At 39.5% G+C, this 20,135-nt stretch overlaps 1 protein-coding gene across 3 annotated transcripts in view; it reads left to right on the forward strand.

Annotated features, from left to right (window-relative positions):
* The window catches only part of CNTNAP5 (contactin associated protein family member 5), an 895,933-nt gene that overhangs the window by 574,982 nt on the left and 300,816 nt on the right, over positions 1-20,135 (forward strand). For all 3 annotated transcript variants that reach the window (NM_001367498.1, XM_017003316.2, NM_130773.4), the window contains exon 12: positions 9,533-9,652. In NM_001367498.1, the coding sequence (NP_001354427.1) occupies positions 9,533-9,652 (120 nt within the window). The remainder of the gene's footprint in view (positions 1-9,532; positions 9,653-20,135) is intronic.

The following is a 20,135-nucleotide window of genomic DNA, read 5'->3' on the forward strand; positions in this document are numbered from 1 at the left end:
AAAACAGCAACTTCAGTGATGGGGTGCTCATAGGAGACTGAAAATTCACCTGGCTAGAAATTAGGCTAGAAATGAGGGAAGCTGAAGGAGAAGGTAGCCCATCTGGAGTAACGCACTAGTAACATGTATCAGTAGATGAGCCCATCTGGCTGCCACACACTAGTAACATGTATCAGTAGATGAGCAATGATGTGTGTAAATCTACAGTAGCACATCCTGCCCTTCATTGACCTTACACACATGGAATCAATGTCTGTGCTATGCTCTTGCACCTGCCGCATCTCATGTAAAATGTCTGTTGTGGGATATGCTGACCAGAGCTATGCAAGGAAAGGAATTCTGGTAAATGTAGTTCCAGTTTGGCTTAAATTGACACAACTCGAATCCACCACAATGGCATGACAAAAGGAGACAAATACAGGGGCACACACACAAAAACCCCCAAAATACAACAACAATACTCAGAGAGAGAGAGAGAGAGAGAGAGAGAGAGAGAGAGAAAGAGAGAGAAAGAGAGAAGCAAAAACCACAGGGGAAAAGGGCAAGAAAATGTTGAAAGCAGAAAGTGAGTAGACGAATAGGAACAGGTAACAGATTAACATAATTATAATGCTGAATCTTAATTTACATGCAGTGAAATCCAAGAAACAAACAAATCCACATTACAAAATCCCCCAAAGGCACAGAAGTAGGAATCATCAGTCACCTTTGCAAGTGAAGGTGAAGGTAAGATAAATACAGGAAGAGTAAATCTACATCTGTGTAAGAAGTAGTTAGATTATCAATCCTCTTTCCAGTTGTGGACACTTGGTGATTGCTCCTTCACCACTGAGAGAGAAGACTGGAAGTTTTTCTTTTGGAGAAAACACAATTCCTAAAACTGAGAGAAAACATGTATGGTTGAAGAAGGTTGTACCATATTGAAAATGGGGTAAGGTATGAAAACATTTATATAGAAAGAATGCTAAGACCTGGCCTTCTTCTCTTCAGCTCCGAGATATTCCACAGCCAAGCATACATCCTCTAAATCATAGACTCTAACAAGAGCAAGAGAAAGACAAAAGACACTAACGTGAGCATTTCTCACAAAATTCTTCAGCCAGATAAGCCTACATTAAAGTCCTTGGAAGGCAAACCACAGACATTTGTTTACAAATACCAAGTAGTATTTCAGGGACCACTATCAAATACGAGAGAACATCCCAGAAAGCACTATTACATGAAATGTAAGATAGAGACCAAAACAAAACACACAACAATTAAAGCAATTAACCAAACAAGCACAGCTTAAAGGGAACAGCCTATACGGAGCAAAGAAAGGATCAAAGGTACTGTAATATGATTAATATTCTTAGAGACATGAATGAAGTATTGCGTCAATGAGTCAAGCATCACGTGCTATTAGAGAAAATAATATTCAAAGGAAAAAAACCAATCTTCTATAATTTTAAAAATACTACAACTGAAATAGCTTAAAACGGAAACAACCCAAATGTTCTTCAGTGGATTAATTATTAAACTGTAGTATGTCCATGTTATGAAATACTACTCAGCAGTGAAACTGGAATTGACAACTGATACATCACAAAGCTTGAATGGATCTCAAGGGAATTATTTTTAGTGAAAAAGGCCAGTTTTAAAAGGAATATCCAGCTTGAGGGTGAGGAGATGCTTTGGGGAGACAACTGTAACCAGACGGGTAGCTCAATATCCCGTATTACAGCAAGTCAGAAGAATCCAGAAGATACTTTTGATTTTCAAACACATTTTCAAACATATGAAAAAGATAAAATCGGCCAGGCGCGGTGGCTCACACCTGTAATCCCAGCACTTTGGGAGGCCGAGGCGGGTGGATCACGACGTCAGGAGTTCGAGACCAGCCTGGCCAACAGGTGAAACCTCATCTCTATGAAAAATACAAAAAGTAGCTGGGCATAGTGGCATGTGCCTGTAATCCCAGCTACTCGGGAGGCTGAGGCAGGAGAATAGCTTGAACCAGGAAGTCGGAGGTTGTAGTGAGCCAAGATCATGCCACTGCACTCCAGCCTGGCGACAGAGCAAGACTTCACCAAAAAAAAAAAAAAAAAAAAAAGAATAAAGGCAATATCATGTAATTGTCCCACATGTATCCTTCATTCAGGCTCAACAGTTATCAATATTCTCTCATTTTTATTTCGACTATCCCCTCCTCACTTGTTTGATGCAACATCTTATTTATTTGTTTGTTTGTGTTTTTTTAAACTGAGACAGGGTCTTGCTCTGTCACCCAGGCTGGAGTGCAGTGGCTTAATCATAGCTCACTGCAGGCTCAAACTCTTGGACTCAAGCTACTCTTCTGCTTCAGCCTCCTGGGTAGCTGAGACTATAGGCACAAGCTACGCACCCAGCTAATTTTAAATTTTTTGTAAAAACGGGGATCTAACTATGTTGCTCAGGCTGGTCTCGAGCTCTCAGCCTCAAGTGATTGTGCCACCTCAGCCTCCCAAAATGTTGGAATTACAGGTGTGAACCACTGTGCCCAGCTGATGGAGAATTTTAGAAACAAATTGTGGACATATAATTTTACTACAACTACAGTATTCATAGTGAACAACTCTCTAACACAGGACAACTCATCTTTTAAAACATAATCACACTGCCATAATTGTAACTATCAAAATTAAAAATACTTAATATAATCTGTTATAAAATCTGATCTATAATTTTTGTGGTTATCTTAAAACATCTTCCCTCTCTCCCTCCCTCCCTCCCTCCCTCCCTTCTTTCCTTCCTACCTTCCTTCCTTCCTTCTTCTTTTCTTCCTTTCTTTCTTTCTCATCTTTTCTTTAATGTGTTTGAATTAGGGTCTAAACAAGATCTAAGCATAGTGTTTGACTGACTGATATATCTTTTGCATTTCAACTCCATTTTTGCCATTTTTGTTGAAGAAACTAAGTGAAACATTCCAGTATTGTAGATTTAACTAATTGCATTCTTACAGTGTGGCTGGGCATGTGGGCCTCTTTCTGTAAATTGGTGTTTAGATCTTGGGGCTCGAATACATTTATCTTCAATTTTTGTGGCAAGAATGTGTTTTAGATGGTGTTACATATGTCTTATTGTGCCACATTAGAGGCACCCTGATAATCACTTTTCATGATGTTAAGATTGACCCATGAGTTCAGGTGTTAATTGAATCCACTGACTAAAATATCCCATTAATGTTTCAACTAATGGTTTGGCAGTCCTTGATGATCATTGTTTAATCCTTTATCTCACTGGGCATTACTAAAGGATGATTTTCAAATTCTATTATTCTTTTGCAGATTCTGGTTTGGTTATTCTCTAAAGACTTTTTTCATGGACTGTTAAGTTGCATTCAAATACATTTATACAAGAAAGACAGGATATGATCTCTGTTCTTTCTAATATTCAGGACATGACTTCATTCTCTATTAAACTTCAGAGGGGACCAATGGACTTGAGTAGAGAGACAAGATAGATGCTACGTAGGTAGATAGATAGATAAATAAATACATACATACATATATACATACATACCTACATACATACATGCATACATATATAAATTGATTGATGGATAGATAGAAACTAATAAATTGTATATATTTAACAATCAAAGTGACTATTATTTTTTATGCCCAAATTGTCCCATCAAACTAACTCCTGGGCTGTTTTGAGATAATTCCAGTCTTTAATAAAAGTCTTGTTTTTAGGCAAAGCAAGACATTCCACTTTCATTCTGTACTTTTCATGGTCCCAAAATTGACTCAGTAAAATCTTTTTTCCTTTTATGTGTTAACTTTTATTTAGAGACAACTCTCTGTGCATTAATTTGCTTCTTGCACTTTCAGTGGTCCAAATGTGAAAATGCATCATTTTTTGAAAGCATTAAATTATAAGCTTAAGCTTATTACCAATTCTAAGATATATTGCAGAATTTTATCTGTTTGCATTTTATATTTTATCTTTTATGATAAGTAATTTAGTTTCTGTTGATAAGACAATTATTAGCTTTTTCTTGCTATGTTTAATAGTTTCATAATATAATAGCAATATCGTTTAAAATGAGGTTATTAAATGTATTTTTATATTTTAAATTTTTTTGGTAGGATACATCCTACTAGTCAAACTACTGTTTCAATATCAAATATGTTTAAATCTATACATTCATAATAATACTAAAAATATTTTCATCCGTTACTTTGGGGCACCCTAGGGAAACATTTCAGCATTTCGAAACTGATGAATTAAAGTGAAAGCATCAACCATGTAACTCGCTTTTCCCAAATAATCTTGTAGTTTAGGGAAATCAAACGATGAAGGTTGTTTCAGTTTTGTAAAACATTCCCATTAATAAATCAGGAAGGGATGATAGCATTAGATTAACCACCTACAAGCTGGTTTGTCTTTGGGCAAAGTACTTATATTTTATGAACTCATTTACAGTGTCCATAAATGGCAATGCTGTTACCAGGCTTTGCCCTCAGAGATCTCCCAGTTACTGAGCCAGCATTTAAGGAACAAGTATATCAATAACAGTAGGTTAACTAAGATGGTAAATCACCCCAAGATCTCAATGACTTAGTGAAATAAACATTTATTTTATGTTCACATCCCATGCTGTGTGACCTGTTCAATGAAGTCAAACAATGATAAAATCCATGTCTACCCTATTGATCCATTTCATTTAGCTTCTTGGGATTTTTTTCTGAGAATTTTGGATGCCTCACTGATTTGCCTTGGGCAATGGGGCATCAGCAAACATCATGCAAGCAGAGGCCTGACAAGTACTTTGTTTCTTGCTGTTCTGGGAGGCTGTACCATGTAAACTCCCCTGCTACAGTGTGAGAGGCCACGTGGGCCGAAGCAAAGAACTACAGCTTACCACCACCCAGCCTGGCTGACCCAGCAGCTGACTGCAGATGCATGAACTGCCCAGCCAATCCCAGACTAAATGGCTGGCCTGCAGAATCATGGCTTAGTCATGACTTAAAGTCAAATTTGGAGTTTTATGTGTGTTTGTTTTTATACAGCAAAAGAACTGATGCACTGAGGATATAGATGATGGAAGATTAGCAATATACTGGGAGTTGCTGAAGCTGGTTGTGATGCTAGCAGGATCCTCTCTGTGCTCTTTGTATTTGAAAGTTTCTGCAATGAGAAAGTTAAAAAGAAAATATTAAATTTCAATATTGCTTTAAATAATTCCTGGTTAAATTATCTTGTTTTCATTTTCTTTCAATGTTTAAGAACTATTATTCTAGGCTGAGTGTGGTGGCTCACACCTGTAATCCCTGCACTTTGGGAGGCTGAGGCAGGTGGATCACACGGTCAGGAATTTGAGACCAGCTTGACTAACATGGTGAAACCCTGTCTCTACTAAAAACAGAAAAAATTAGCCAGATGCGGTGGTGTGTGCCTGTAGTCCCAGCTACTCGGGAGGCTGAGGCAGGAGAATTGCTTGGACCTGGCGGAGGTTGCAGTGAGGCAAGAGCATGCCACTGCATTCCAGCCTGGGTGACCGAGCAAGACTCTGTCAAAAAAAAAAAAAAAAAAAAAAAAGAAGGAAAGAAAGAAAGAAAGAATAGAAAGAATTATTATATTTAACTTTTAAAAATTATTGAAAATAGTTTTATGGTTTCAAAATTAAAAATATAAGACATTCAGAAATGTCTCACTTTCATCTTTGTCCCCTCCCACATTTTTCTCTCTCTCCATAGTTATCCTCTTATGTTAATTCTTACCTGAACATTTTGGTAGATATTTTAGATAGTTGTTAGTAAATTTGGAGTTAAATTAGCAATTTATATGTAGAAAACTAGGCAAATGAGAAAATATGACAATTTTAAATTTCAAGAAAAACTAAATTTTGTTCAGAAAAGAAAAAGTAATCACATTATAATATGTAGTTAATCTATGAATAGCATTTACAATGTCATATCACCAAAATAGTAATCATTGATGTAGCTAAAATTATTATACAACTAGACTGGATGGATGGGGGAATGGAAAGTTGTTTTTATTTTGGGGATGGGGGGATAAAAAGGGCTAAATTCCCATTTTCCAACTGTTAAATAAATAGATAACTTGTAAAAGTAAAAAAAAAATAAGAAGTAACAATATAGACATGCTATTTAGTCATTCCAGTCAATAACAGAAAAATGAACTAAGAATGAAAAGTTATTTCTGTGCAGAAGGGAAGTTGGAGCTACTGATCTTTTATACCAAGGCTTGTGGTTTATGATGAAAATTGAAAAAAAAAATCAGGTATACAAAAACTGTATTAGTCCGTTTTCACGCTGCTGATAAAAACATACCTGAGACTGCGCAATTTACAAAAGAAAGAGGTTTAATTGGACTCACAGTTCCCCATGGCTGGGAAAACCTCACAATCATGGCAGAGGGCAAGGAGGAACAATTCACATCTTAAGTGGATGGCGGCAGGCAAAGAAAAAAGAGCTGGTGCAGGGAAACTCTCCCTTTTAAAAATGATCAGATCTCTTGAGACTCGTTAACTATCATGAGAGCAGCTCAGGAAAGACCCGCCCCCTAATTCAATTACCTCGCACCAGGTTCCTCCCACAACACATGGGAATTGTGGGAGTTACAATTCAAGACGAGATTTGGATGAGGACACAGCGAAACCATATTAAAAACTCATAAAAAAAGGAGAGGCAACAAGTCATGAAACAACACTACTACTATTAATAATATAGGCTCATATTAATCAAGCACTTTCTATGTGCCATATGTGGATTGTGTCTTTGAATCCTTACTACAACAGTATGAGGGAGGCTCTTTTTGAGTTACTGTAGTCTAATGAGACAATTTATACTTCGAGAGTTGATTAGCTACCTATTGTAATGAAGGATTCTAAAACAACACCTGGAAACAACAGACATTATCATCTCAGAGTGTCTCTGGGACCGTAAGCAACTTAGCTAGGTGGTTCTGTCTTGGTCTCTCATGCAGCTGCAAAAAAGATGTCCACAGGGCTGCTTTCGTTTTAAGGCTTGATATGGGGATCTTGCTTTGGTGCCCATTCTCAGGGCATGCTACCAAAACTTCCAGGCTCACTCCTGTGGGCCTCTTGCAAGGGCTGCCTTGTTACATTGGAGTTGGCTTCTACCACCGTGAGTGACCTAGAACACCCAAGATGGAAGTCACTGTTGTTTTATAATCTAATCTTGGAAATGGTATCTACCACACTATCATATTCTATTTGTTAGAGCAAGCCAGTAAGTCCAGCCCACTTGGAGGGAGGATGTGATTTTGTCAGCAGAACATGAATCCCAGGAAGTATCTGTCCATCACGGGAATTACCTTAGAGGTTGCCTAGCACAGGTGGGGTAGCTTGTCCACGCTTCCACAGGGAGAAAGGGGTAGCCCTGCCAGGAAAAACCACCCATTCTGATTCCAAGGTTTATGTTCTTAACTACTATGCAACTGCTCACATGCTGTGGGGTGGTGTTTCCCTTTTGTGGGACAACAGCAACTCCTTCCACATAGCTGTCATCCCGGGAATGTGGGAGTGGTTGGGAGGTCAACATAGACAACAGCTGATTTTCACCTTTGTGACAAACACCCAAGGGCATTATCAGGTTTAGGCAAACAAAAATAATCTGTACATTATGCTCACAATGTGGGGCACAGATTGTGGCACTCCCACATACCTCCTGCTGCGGAAAGTTTGCTGGAATGCAAGAGAGAATGCCATGAGAACAAGGATAACCTTGAGTTCACTCTAATTTATAAAAAGTCAAACCCTCTCAGGCTTCATAACTTTCCTGGTAATAAATTATTTGAGCCACCCCTCACATTTGATCATGACAAACTGCAGCTTCCTCTTCCTGGGATGGGACATTAGTCACAAGGGGCAGGAGTTGGCTAGGAGAGGAGTTGGTACTATATCTTGAAAGCTGTTGGGAGCCACTGAAATGTTTAAAGCATCATAGGGTGACATGATTGGAGATGTAGCTGCTGCTCTGAGCAACAGCATTTTGTCTGAAGCATCAGACAACATTCTATATTCTCATATATGAGACAGTAGATGTCTCCTTTATACCCCCAACAGATTTATTCATGTTAGCCTAATAAAATTTATATATTTCCCAAACTTGCAGATTTATCAAAGCTCCCTATCTCAGGACACCTGAACCTGCCTCTATCTGAGCATGCAGACTTTTGTGGCTGCCAATCAAGCTGTGAGCTTTCTGGGGTAGAGATTTATTGCCTCCTCCATGGTTCCATCCTCTGGTGGCAACCTCATCTGTTGACACGTATTAGGAACTCAGTAAATGCTTATTAAGTCAAAATAAACTGAACTTCGTTGTGCACTTACTACATGTTATGTACTATACTTAGTACTAGGTACATAAAAATAAGACAGTCTGGGCCAGGCGCAGTGGTTCACACATGTAATCCCAGCACTTTGGGAGGCTGAGGTGGGTGGATCACGAGGTCAGGAGTTCGAGACCAGCCTGATCAATATGGTGAAACCCCGTCTCTACTAAAAATATAAAAATTAGCTGGGCGTGGTGGCATGTGCCTGTAATCTCAGCTACTCAGGAGTCCGAGGCAGGAGAATCTCTTGAACCCGGGAGGCGAGTTTGTAGTGAGCCAAGATCAAGCCACGGCACTCCAGCCTGGGCAACAGAGCAGACTCTACCTCAAGAAAAAAAAAAAAAGAAAAAGTCTTTAATTAGTAAAAAGCCATACTGTATGTAAGCAGTAATTTTTTTAATTCATGAGTCAAACATTGGCTCAGGCCCTGCTGTGATTGTTGCACTCTGCTAGATGCTGGGGCACAACATCAAATGACACGTGACCACTACTCTTACAGGTTCTGTAACCCATTGAAAGAGACACAATGGTATTTGGATGATCCAAGCTCAGTATACAGTGGGAGCAAGGAGGAAGGTCATAGAGATAAGCAAAGAGGAGGGCCATGTAAGAGGTGAGGGGCCACATTTTGAGAGGCATTACCTCTGCACTGATTTTAAAAGAATGAATGAATTTAAATAAATGGAAAATAAGGCTGGGCCTGGCGGATCATGCCTATAATCCCAGCAGCTTGAGAGACTGAGGCAGGAGAATCAGTTGAGGCTAGGAGTTCAAGACCAACCTGGATAACAGAGTGAGACCCCATCTCTATAAACATTTTTTTAAAAAAATTAGTCAGGGTGGTGGCTCACACCTATACTCCCAGCTACTCGGGAGACTGAAGTGGGAGATCACTTGAGCCTGGGAGTTTGAGGCTGCAATGTGCCGTGAGCCGTGATCGTGCTACTGCAGTCTAAAACAAATAATAATAAAAAGAGAGAGAGAGAGAGATGAATGGAAAATCTGAATGTCAAACATCAGTATCAAGCCACTGGTACTGGTGTGTTAAGGCTTGGGGAAAAAGTCAAGGATATAGAAGGAGGGAAATGAATACACATAGAGCAAATCTAAGTAGGAGTTACTGATTCCTGCAAAGGGATATGCAGAGCCAAGCAAAGTTTTATCTCTGCTGCCTTTGTCTTTCCAGCCATCTACGAGCAATCCTGCGAGGTGTACAGGCACCAGGGGAATACAGCCGGCTTCTTCTACATCGACTCAGATGGCAGCGGCCCACTGGGACCTCTCCAGGTGTACTGCAATATCACTGGTAAGGGTGCAGTAGCCCTACTCACACTTAACCACCCCACTTCATGGAAGGAAGCAAAAATAAATTCACTGGAGGGGGATACCTACGTGAATAAAAATTTGAAAGACCAACTGGTCTCCTTTGGGGAGGAAATGGTATTCTGGTGAGTAATGCAAATTTGCAGCTAGGTTAATTTTCATGAGACAGAAAAAAGAAAACTTGTTAATGGTCTTGATAATGTTTCACTGAAGCAAGAATTAATTATCAGTGGTTTTCTTTAGGGCCTCCAAGGGCATTTTCTCTCCTGAAACTCAAAAACAGAAAGAAAAGGTAAATAAGCAAACAAACAAACAAAACTCCAAATCAGTGGGAAGCCCTGACTCAGGAAGCTGGAAAGCTTGATTCCACTCTGGCCCCAAGGGATGCATGACCCTTAGGTGAATACTATAGTTTCTCTGAGCTTTATCAGTGAAATGAGAATAATAGTGGCTACCCCCAGAGCTGTGAGAATTAGATACAATCATGTGTATTGGAGCAGCTAGCCAGGCTGGTTGTTCTTAGATGCCTAACCAAAACAAAACAAAATGAAAAGGTGAGTTTTTTCATTTTTCTCTGGAAATTTCTTGATAGCTTAAACTTATTTCTCAAATGCAGAAGGACATGGTAAGAGGCAATCATTACATGGGCTTAGAAATGACATATGATCCTTAATTTACCATGAAATACATTTCCACAAAACCAAATCTTGAGGTAATCATTATTTAAAAATCCAGCTATGCAGCCAGGTGCGATGGCTCACGCCTGTAATCCCAGCACTTTGGGAGGCCTAGGCAGGCAGACCACGAGGTCAGGAGATCCAGACCATCCTGGCCAACACGGTGAAACCCTGTCTCTACTAAAAATACAAAAATTAGCTGGGTGCGGTGGCATGTGACTAATCCCAACTACTCCCGAGGCTGAGGCACGAGACTCGCTTGAACCCGGGAGACGGAGGTTGCAGTCAGCCGAGATCGTGCCACTGCACTCCAGCCTGCGACAGGGCGAGACACCGTCTCAAAAAAAAAAAAAAAAATCCAGCTATGCAAGCACTCCTATTATGAGCATCATTAATTGGCACACGCACATTTTTTGTTTGTTTGTTTGTTTCAAGCACTGGTCTTCAGAGATGCCAGCTGCATCATGTAATGAAGCAGGAACGTAGGGGCCTCTTTAGGCTCATTGAGCCTTCAGGCCTCAGGATTTTCTGCAACAAAGCAACCACATTTATGGAGTGCTTTCTGTAGGCAGACACTGTTTTAGATACAGAGGGTATGAAAAGTAAGACACAGTGGCTGTTGTTCATGAGGCAGTAAAGTCAGGAACACTACCGTGAGGTATCTCCAGCTAAATGCAAGAAAACTATTGGAAAGAAATGGTGAGTAAGGAAGCACAGTAATTTGCCCATCTGGATACAAAGTCCTATGCTGTCTGCGTAGAAAATGCTGGTGACCTGGCATTGGGTGCCACGTCCTTGCATTTCCGTAATAACTTTCTTTATCTCTCCAAAATGGTTGTATGATAGCTGCTTTTCAAAAGCCCTGTAACATAATTAGAAATTGTGCTCCTGTTGTCTTTTCATGGTTGTGGTAACCTATAGTGTTCAACAACCTGGTCAAAAACTAGGCTTCTCAGTGGATCTCGGTTATTTTAAAAATGTAATTAACATATGGACTCTTGCTAAAAAGGCAGATTTCCCAGCCCCAGAAATTCCAATTCAGTAAATGCACTTTTACTGAGCTTTTCAAGTGATTCTGATGCAAATTGTCCCTGTTCCACTTTTCCAAAAAACAGGGAAAGTAATTTGGCTGCAAATAAGGCAAAAGAGATAAATGCCCACTGCTGAGTGGCCAGGTGTGACTTGTAATAATAAGAGTGGTATAATGGACAGCAATTACTGAGCTTCGACTCTCTCTGGGAATTGAGCTGGGAGTTTACAAATACCATCTCTTTTCATCCTCACAACAAAAATCAGAGGCAGACATTTTTTTTATCTCCATCTAACGTAGAAGGGAAGAGAATATGAGCATTTCATGACTGGCTCAAGGTAAATTCTGTGACTAACAGTCAAGACTTAGGAAGCGGGCATAGCCTTCTGGTTCAGTAATAATTCATATCACTAAAATGTTAATTGGATATGTTCTATTACATACATTTTGTTTTTAAAGTGTTGTTTTATTGTTAGAAAATTTTGTAACAATAATTGAAGAAATTTTGAGGGAAAAAAGTATGAAGGAAATATTAAAGCCAACTGTAATCCGCAATCCAGAGATTGCCATTGTTATTAAATTATTAGAATTTCCTCAAGACATTTTAAAATGAATGTTTATGTGTGTTTTTGCTATGAATGTGTATGTTATATATATACATACAGACACAGAAATATACATATACATTTAAATTATAAATTTTAATTTTAATGTGTTGTGTAGATTTTCCCTATTAAAATATATATTGAAATTAAGATAAATATAGCTTAGAAATGTTAAACTCTTCAAAATAATGCAAGGACAAGGACTTAGAGAGTCTGACTGATACATAGGTTTCATGTACATGAAACTCTCTGCCTCACCATCCAACAGCCTTCTCCCAGGGTTTATGTTTGATCATTTGTCCAAGAATGGCTAAAGGTGAGTGTGTACTTGTATTTAAAGGTTACTGTTTTGCTGATATGATCCTGAAGAAATCAGAGCCTCTGAATTGTGTCCCGAGTTGATCAGCTTGATGCGTATGGTGGGGTATTTATTTTGAATATGATTTTTTTGGGTCATATTCAGCTGCACGATGTCTAACTTTCTGTTTTTGTTTTTTAAAATACCTGCAAAAATAAAAGCAGACCAGGCATAGTGATTCATGCCTGTAATCCCAACACTTTGGGAGACCAAGGCAGGAGGATCATTTGAGGTCAGGAGTTCGAGACCAGCCTGACCAACATGGTGAAAACCCATCTCTACTAAAAATACAAAAATTAGCCAGGTATTGTGGTGCATGCATGTAGTCCCAGCTACTTGGAGGCTGAGGCAGGAGAATCACATGAACCTGGGAGGCAGAGATTGCAGTGAGCCGAGATTGTGCCACTGCACTCCAGCCTGGGTGACAGAGTAAGACTCTGTCTCAAATAAATAAATAAACAAATAAAAATAAAATAAAAGCAAAGCTCTGTGTAGGCTGAACTACACAACTCTCATATTTAAATGGAAAACAATTTTCTGATACATACATGTAATGATGATCAAATATGCATCTTTCTATTTGAAAATTTTATAAGTTGAATGTTGTTAAAACATGAGTGACTTATCACAGTATGAAAAGTGTGACACAGTGGTCCAGGGAAGAGAGTCAGGAAGAAGGGAGAGAAGAAACAGAAGGAAACTTGTGCTATCTTTAACACTGGGATAATCCCAGAATGGGTGTCCAGAGCACCAGAAGGCAGGAAAACCAAGCTCTCTTTCTGCACCTTGTGCCTGTCAGCTCAGTTAAGTGCCTGGGGCCCAAGCCCACATCTGTAAAATTAAGATCTGGGTCCTCTGGCTTCCACAGCCTTTCCTCGTTGAGAATTCTCTGAGCTTTTCTTTGAGGTTCCAGAGAAAAGAGACTTTTCTTCTAAGAAGTCTACAGATACTTGCAAATGGATGTCATGGGACTGAAGATGGACAGGTTTCCATTGTAGAAAGCAATAGTACATTTGAGTCCCAGCTGTCTCCTCTTACAGTGCACCCTGGGGAACGTTAGCTCCCCCTTCCTATATGCAAAGTAGTCCCTAACCTGTCCTGGGAGATGTAAGTCTGTGCATCTCACCTGCACACAGGGCAGTCTTCAGGAGGGGAGTTCCCCAAATGCTCAACCAGCAACCACCCTATGTAATGTAAAAAGCCATAATCTCTGTGAAAGGAAATTAACTTAAGGGAGATGATTAAGCTTACTGATAAAGTGGACTGAATCTGGACCTCCGCACACTTTTGACGGGGTGCCATCCTTGGAACTATGTTCTAAGTTGCTTCACCACAGGGCTATCAGATGGGAGACGGGGAGAGCACAATTTTTGGTTGGAGAATTGAGTGAAGTGATGGATAAGGAAGTTAAAGAGTAAGCTTCCAGAGGAACACACACTTGTCAGACTTTTAACAATTTTTTTAAGTGATTTACAATAAGGTTCAGCCAATATAATTTTACTCAATATAAATTTGGGCATTGTGGGCACTGTGAAAGTGCTGTAGTTTTAATAGTGTGTCTATATTAGTTTCCTAGGGCTCTATAACAAACTACATAACACTGGTTTTATTTCACACCACTGCAATAAAATGAGTATCACAATAAAGCAAGTCACATGAATTTTCTGGTTTCCAAGTATTACCGCAAAGGGGTCCTGATCCAGACCCCAAGAGAAAGTTCTTGGACTTCACTCAAGAAAGAATTTGGGGAGAGTCTATACAGTAAAGTTAAAGCAAGTTTATTAAGAAAGTAAAAGAATAAAGAATAGCTATTCCATAGGCAGAGCAGCCCCATCGGTTGCTGGTTGGCCATTTTTATGGTTATTTCTGGATTATATGCTAAACAAGGGGGGATTTATCATGAGTTTTCCAGGAAAGTGGTGGGCAGTTCCCAGGACTGAGGGTTTCTCCCCTTTTTAGACCATGTATGATAACTTCCTGATGTTGCCATGACATTTGTAGACTGTCATGGCTCTGGCGGGAGTGTCTCTTAGCATGCTGAGGCTATTATTATTAGTGTATAATGAGCAGTGAGGATGACCAGAGGTCAGTTTTGTCACCATCTCGGTTTTGGTGGTATTTGGCCAGCTTCTTTGCAGCATCCTGTTTTATCAGCAAGGTCTTTGTGACCAGTATCTTGTGCCACCCTCCTATCACATCCTGTGACTAAGAATGCCTTAACCTCCTGAGGATGCAGCCCAGTAGGTCTCAGCCTTATTTTACCCAGTCCCTATTCAAGACGGAGTCACTCTGGTTTAAATGTCTCTGACACAAGTTCATATAAAAGTTATGTTTACACTACATGGTAAACTATTAATTGTGCAATAGCATTATATCAAAAAAAAAAAAAACCAAAGTCTATGTCTTAATTAAAAAAATACTTTACTGCTAAAAAATGCTAACAACCTTCTGAGCCTTCAGTGAGTCTTAAGAGACCCCATCATTTTTGCTGGTGGAGGAAAAAGATGTTAGTGGCTGCTAACTGATTAGGATGGTGGTTGCTGAAGGTTGGGGTGGCTGCGGCAATTTCTTAAAATAAGACTACAATAAAGAATGTCACATAATTGACTATTTCTTTTATGAAGGATTTCTGTGTAGTGTGTAATTTTGTTTGATAGCATTTCACCCACAGTAGAACTTCTTTCAAAATTGAAGTCAATCATTCCAAATTCTGCCACTGCTTTAGCAACTAAGCTTGTGGAATATTCTAAACCTTTTGTTGTCATTTTAACAATGTTTACAGCCTCTTCACCAAGAGTAGATTCCATCTCAAGAAGCCACTTTATTTGTTCATCCATAAGAAGCAACTCCTCATCCGTTAAAATTTTATCATGAGAATATAGCAGTTCAGTCACATTTTCAGGTTCCACTTCTAATTCTAGTTCTGTTGCTATTTCCACCAAATCTGCAGTTACTCCCTCCACTGAAGTAATGAACTTCTCAAAATCATCCATGAGGACTGGAATCAACTTCTTCCAGTCTCCTGTTTGATATTTTGGCCTCTCCCATAAATCATGAATGTTCTTAATGAGATCTACAATGGCAAATGCTTTCCAGAAGGTCTTCAATTTACTTTGCCCAGACACATGGGAGGAATTACTATCTATGGCATTTGTAGACTTATAAACTGTATTTCTTAAGTAATAAGACTGAAAAGTCAAAATTACTCCTTGATCCATGAGCTGCAGAGTAAATGTGATAGCAGGCAGGAAAACAACATTAACCTCTTTGTAGATCTCCATCAGAGCTCTTGAGTGACCTGGTTCATTGTCCATAAGCAGTAATATTTTGAAAGAAATCCTTTTTTTGTTGTTTATGGACAGGAGTTCTCAATGGTGGGCTTAAAATATTCAGTAAACCATGCTGTCAACAAATGTGGTCCCATCCAGGCTTTATTATTCCATTTAGAGAGTACAGGCAGAGTAGATTTAGCATAATTCTTATGGATCCTAGGATTTTGAGAATGGCAAATGAGCATTAGCACTTGCATTAGTCCCTACCAAGAGATACAGCCTATCCTTGGAAGCTTTAAAGATAGGCATTGTCTTTCTTCTCTTCTCTACCTCTGATAATCTTAGATGGCACCTATTGCTTAGTGTAGCCACTTTCATCAATGATCTTTGTTATACCTTATGGGTAACTTACATCAGCACTTGCTGCTTCACCTTAAACTTTTATGTTACGAAGATGGCTTCTTTAATTAAACCTCATGATCCGGCCTCTGCTAGCTTCAAACTTTTCTTCTGCAGCTTCCTCACCTCTCTCAGCCTTTATAGAATTGAAGAGGGTTAGGGCCTTGCTCTGGGTTAGGCTTTGGTTTAACGGAATGTCGTGCCTGGCTTGATCTTCTATTCAGCAGCTAAAATTTTCTCCACATCACCCAGAAGGCTGTTTTGCTTTCTTATCATTCACATGTTCACTGAAGTAGCATTTTAATTTTCTTCAAGAACTTTTCCTTTGCATTCACAACTTGGCTAACTTGCACAAGAGGCCTAGCTTTTGGTCTATCTCCACTTTCAACACACCTTCCTCATTAAGGTTAATCATTTCCAGCTTTTGATTTAAAATGAGAGATGTGCCACTCTTCCTTTCACTTGAATTCTTAGAGGTTATTGTGGGGTTACTATTTGGCCTAATTTTGATATTGTTCCATCTCAGGGAGTAGGGAGGCCTAAGGAGAAGGAAAGAGACAGAAATCATTGGCCAGTAGAGCAGTCAGAACACACAATATTGGTCAATTAAGTTCATTGCCTTATATGGGTGCAGTTCATGATGCCCCAAAACAATTAGAATAATAACATTAGTGACCACTGATCGCAGATCACCATAGCAAATGTAATAATAATAAACAATTTGAAATATTGCAGTGGTGGATTCGTGGCTCTTGCCAATGTTCAGGCTCTAAGGATATAACAATGATAATAATATAATATAATAACGATAATTATAATAATAATATACATAAATTACCAAAATGTAACACAGAGACATGAAGTGAGCACACAATATTGGAAAAATGGTACCGACAGACTTGCTCAACATAGGGTTGCCACAAATCTTCACTTTTTTTTTAATGAACTATCTGTGAAGCACAGTAAAGTGAAGTTCAATAAAACAAGCTATGCTTGAACCAGAGACTGGGTGACTTATAAAACAGAGGTATATTTTCTCACAGTTCTAGAGCCCAGAAATCCAAAAGTACCTGCAGTGCCACACTTCCTGTTAAACCTGTAGGGTGAATCTCTTCTTGCCACTTCCTAGCTTTTGATGGTTTGCTCAATCCTTGGCACTCCTTCACTTGCAGCCTCAGCACTTTAATCTCTGCCTTCTAGAGATTGCTACCCTGCCTTCATGTGATGTTGTCACGTGGCCTTCTCCTCCCATGTGCCTGTGTGTCCATTTCTTTTCTTCTTACAAGGATACCCTTCATACTGGATTAAGCCCACCCTAATGGAGTGTGACTTCATCTTAACTTGTTTACGCCTGTAAAGAATCTCTTTCCAAATAGATTACATTCACAGGTACGGAGGGTTAGGACTTCAATATATTATCTTTCTGGTGACAAAATTCAACCCTTAATAGTATTATTTCAGTCTTCTTCACAGACTAATCAAGGAGATGACACAGCAGCAATTAACGTATAAGGACAATGACAAGGTGTGCATAGTGCTTGTTGGGAGCTCACAGGAGAGACCCTAACCTAGCCTGGTGTGCAGTGGGAAGGCTACTGGGCAGCAGATAATGCCTCTGAAACCTGAATAGGAGTAGAAGCTGGTCAAGAGCTGCAGGAAAGCATTTCCAGGAAGACAGAATGAAGGGCAGGAACAAAGGACCAGCATCCCTAGAACCTGCATGTTTTTAGGAGTCACCAACCCACTGAGCTGACTTGATAGGTTGGAACCCAGAAAATCTCATAAAGCTGTGACTGAACAGAAGAGAAAGGATCAAATTGACTTGAGCAGCAGCAAGCAAAGGCTGTTGAAGCTCTGTAATCTGAACTAGAGTTTCCCAGCACAAACATCTGCTGTCTCAGATTCAACAGAATAGAAAAGGAGGAATGGCTTTATCATAGATAGCTCTTCAGCATGTGAGACTATTTAGCTGGCCCTGAAAAAAATTAAAAAAAAAGATGAGCAACAGACTAAGAGGTAGCAACAAGATGTCCTCACAGCATGCATGGACCTTAGCACTGACCCCATATCTTGAGGACAGTGGATCTCTCGTATGGCTTGTTCAAATTAGGGACTATTCATAAAGGTGTGAATATATAAAAGGAATTTATAGTGTAGGGACTATAGCACAGAGATACTAACAGAGTGGGAAAAAGGCACATGTTCAGAAGCTGTGCCTCTGGAGATCTGTGGCCCCCTGTGTGGGAAGCAGCCAGCTCAATCCAGTGACCACTTTGACCTCAGTCTCTCGTTGCTCCTTCTAGGCTCCTTTCTATGCTCCCCTCTGATGAAACCCAACTAGAATCGAGAATGCAGGAGTGCGTATTGATAGAATGCTTTTAGTCAGCCTTCCTGCGCACAGAGAAGGCTGGAGATGTGCAGAAAGTGGAACTGGTGGGGCAAGTGGAAGATTTCCATATTGACCTGCTTAAAGGACTGACCAAAAACGTCTGGGGAAAATGATTAAAATTCATAAGAATTAAGGATGGTGGTGAGGGTAGGGGCTGTAAGTGGAATTCACAAACCATCCAAATAAATGAAGCGTAGACTTGTTAAATCAATTTTAACCTGAACAAGAAAAGACCACTCTTTATGGGTTAAATGGCACTAAGGTTAGAATGAATGTAAGAAACACACACTGAATAAGATATTTAGAAAATGACCTACTCCAAGATTTAATACAGGTACTCAATTTATAAACAACCTAGAAACAAGTAAATAAGTAAGAAAAACTGTGACATGCTTAAACGTAATATTTTGTCAAAAGGTAGTTCTCGGCTTCATACCTCCATCGGATGATAAAAATCTGGAATGGATGCAGAGCATTTCAGCCAATGATGTAGGAGTTTGTGATCATCCTTTGCTGCACCAATCTAATTGGGTCGGTAGGGAAAGATGCATTTGAGACAACCAGGAGTCCACTGGGGACTAAGAATTGGGTTTCTGGATGAAAATGCACATAAGGAGACCTTGCAGGATGGGTGAGATGTCACCAGGAAGAAAAGGAGTTCTTGGAACTGGGTCCCATATAAAAGAAATGGAGAAAGAGCAGGTCACAGTAACTAATTGAAATCCGTGAACACCTGAGGTGGCTGTATAGGAAGCTTGGGTTGATAAAACAGAAGAATCGGCTTCTGAGGTGGGGCGATCTGCCCTTGGGGTGATGGTTAATTTTATGTATCAACTTGGCTGGAACATGGTACCTAATATGTGAACATACTGTCCTGAATGTTTCCTGTAAAAGTGTTTTTGGATGAGATAAACATTTAAATCAGTGGACTTTGAGCAAAGCAGATTGACCTCCATAATGGGGATGGACCTCATCCAATCAGTTGAAGGCCTTAATAGAACAAACACTAACCTCTCCCAAATGAGGAGGAATTCTGAAAGCAGATGTCTCTGGTCTGGAACTGCAGCTACTTCCTGGGTCTCTTGTCTGCCAGCTTCCCCTGCAGATTTTGGGCATACTAAACCTTCATAATCCAATTTCCTGAAAATCAATCTCCTTCTCTCACTGTCTCATTCATATATATATATATATATATATATATATATATATATATATATACTCCTTCTCTCACTGTCTCATTCATATATATATATATATATATATATATATGTAGTGCACACACACACAGTTTAGTTTATTCAGGTAGTTCTGTCTCTGGACAACCCTGACTCATCCATTTGGGTGTCTCAAGATGGGTTTAATGCCCCTACTCTGTGTTCTGCTCATGACATTAATCACACTGCATTATAATGCAGTGTTTACCTATGTGTCCCCACAGGGCTGTGAGCTCCTTGTTGGAAAATAAGGAACAGGGTGTGATGAATCTTTGGATCTACTTTTATACACACTTGAATGAGTCTAGTGTAAATTGAACTCTGAGAAATCACTGCCAAATTGAAGACTAATTTCTATCTTTCCCGTTTTTTTCTTTCCTGTTTCCATAATCTATCTTTGACTCAAGCCCTGTTCCATTAAATCAATAACAGTTTGGGATGTTGGAAACAGCCTCAGTATTTAATCTTGACTGAGCTTGAGTCATTCCTACTCTTTGCAATGCCTTCTATAAGTCCAAGAGT

The sequence above is a fragment of the Homo sapiens genome, chromosome 2, assembly GCF_000001405.40.
Source record: "Homo sapiens chromosome 2, GRCh38.p14 Primary Assembly".
Classification (NCBI taxonomy): domain Eukaryota; kingdom Metazoa; phylum Chordata; class Mammalia; order Primates; family Hominidae; genus Homo; species Homo sapiens.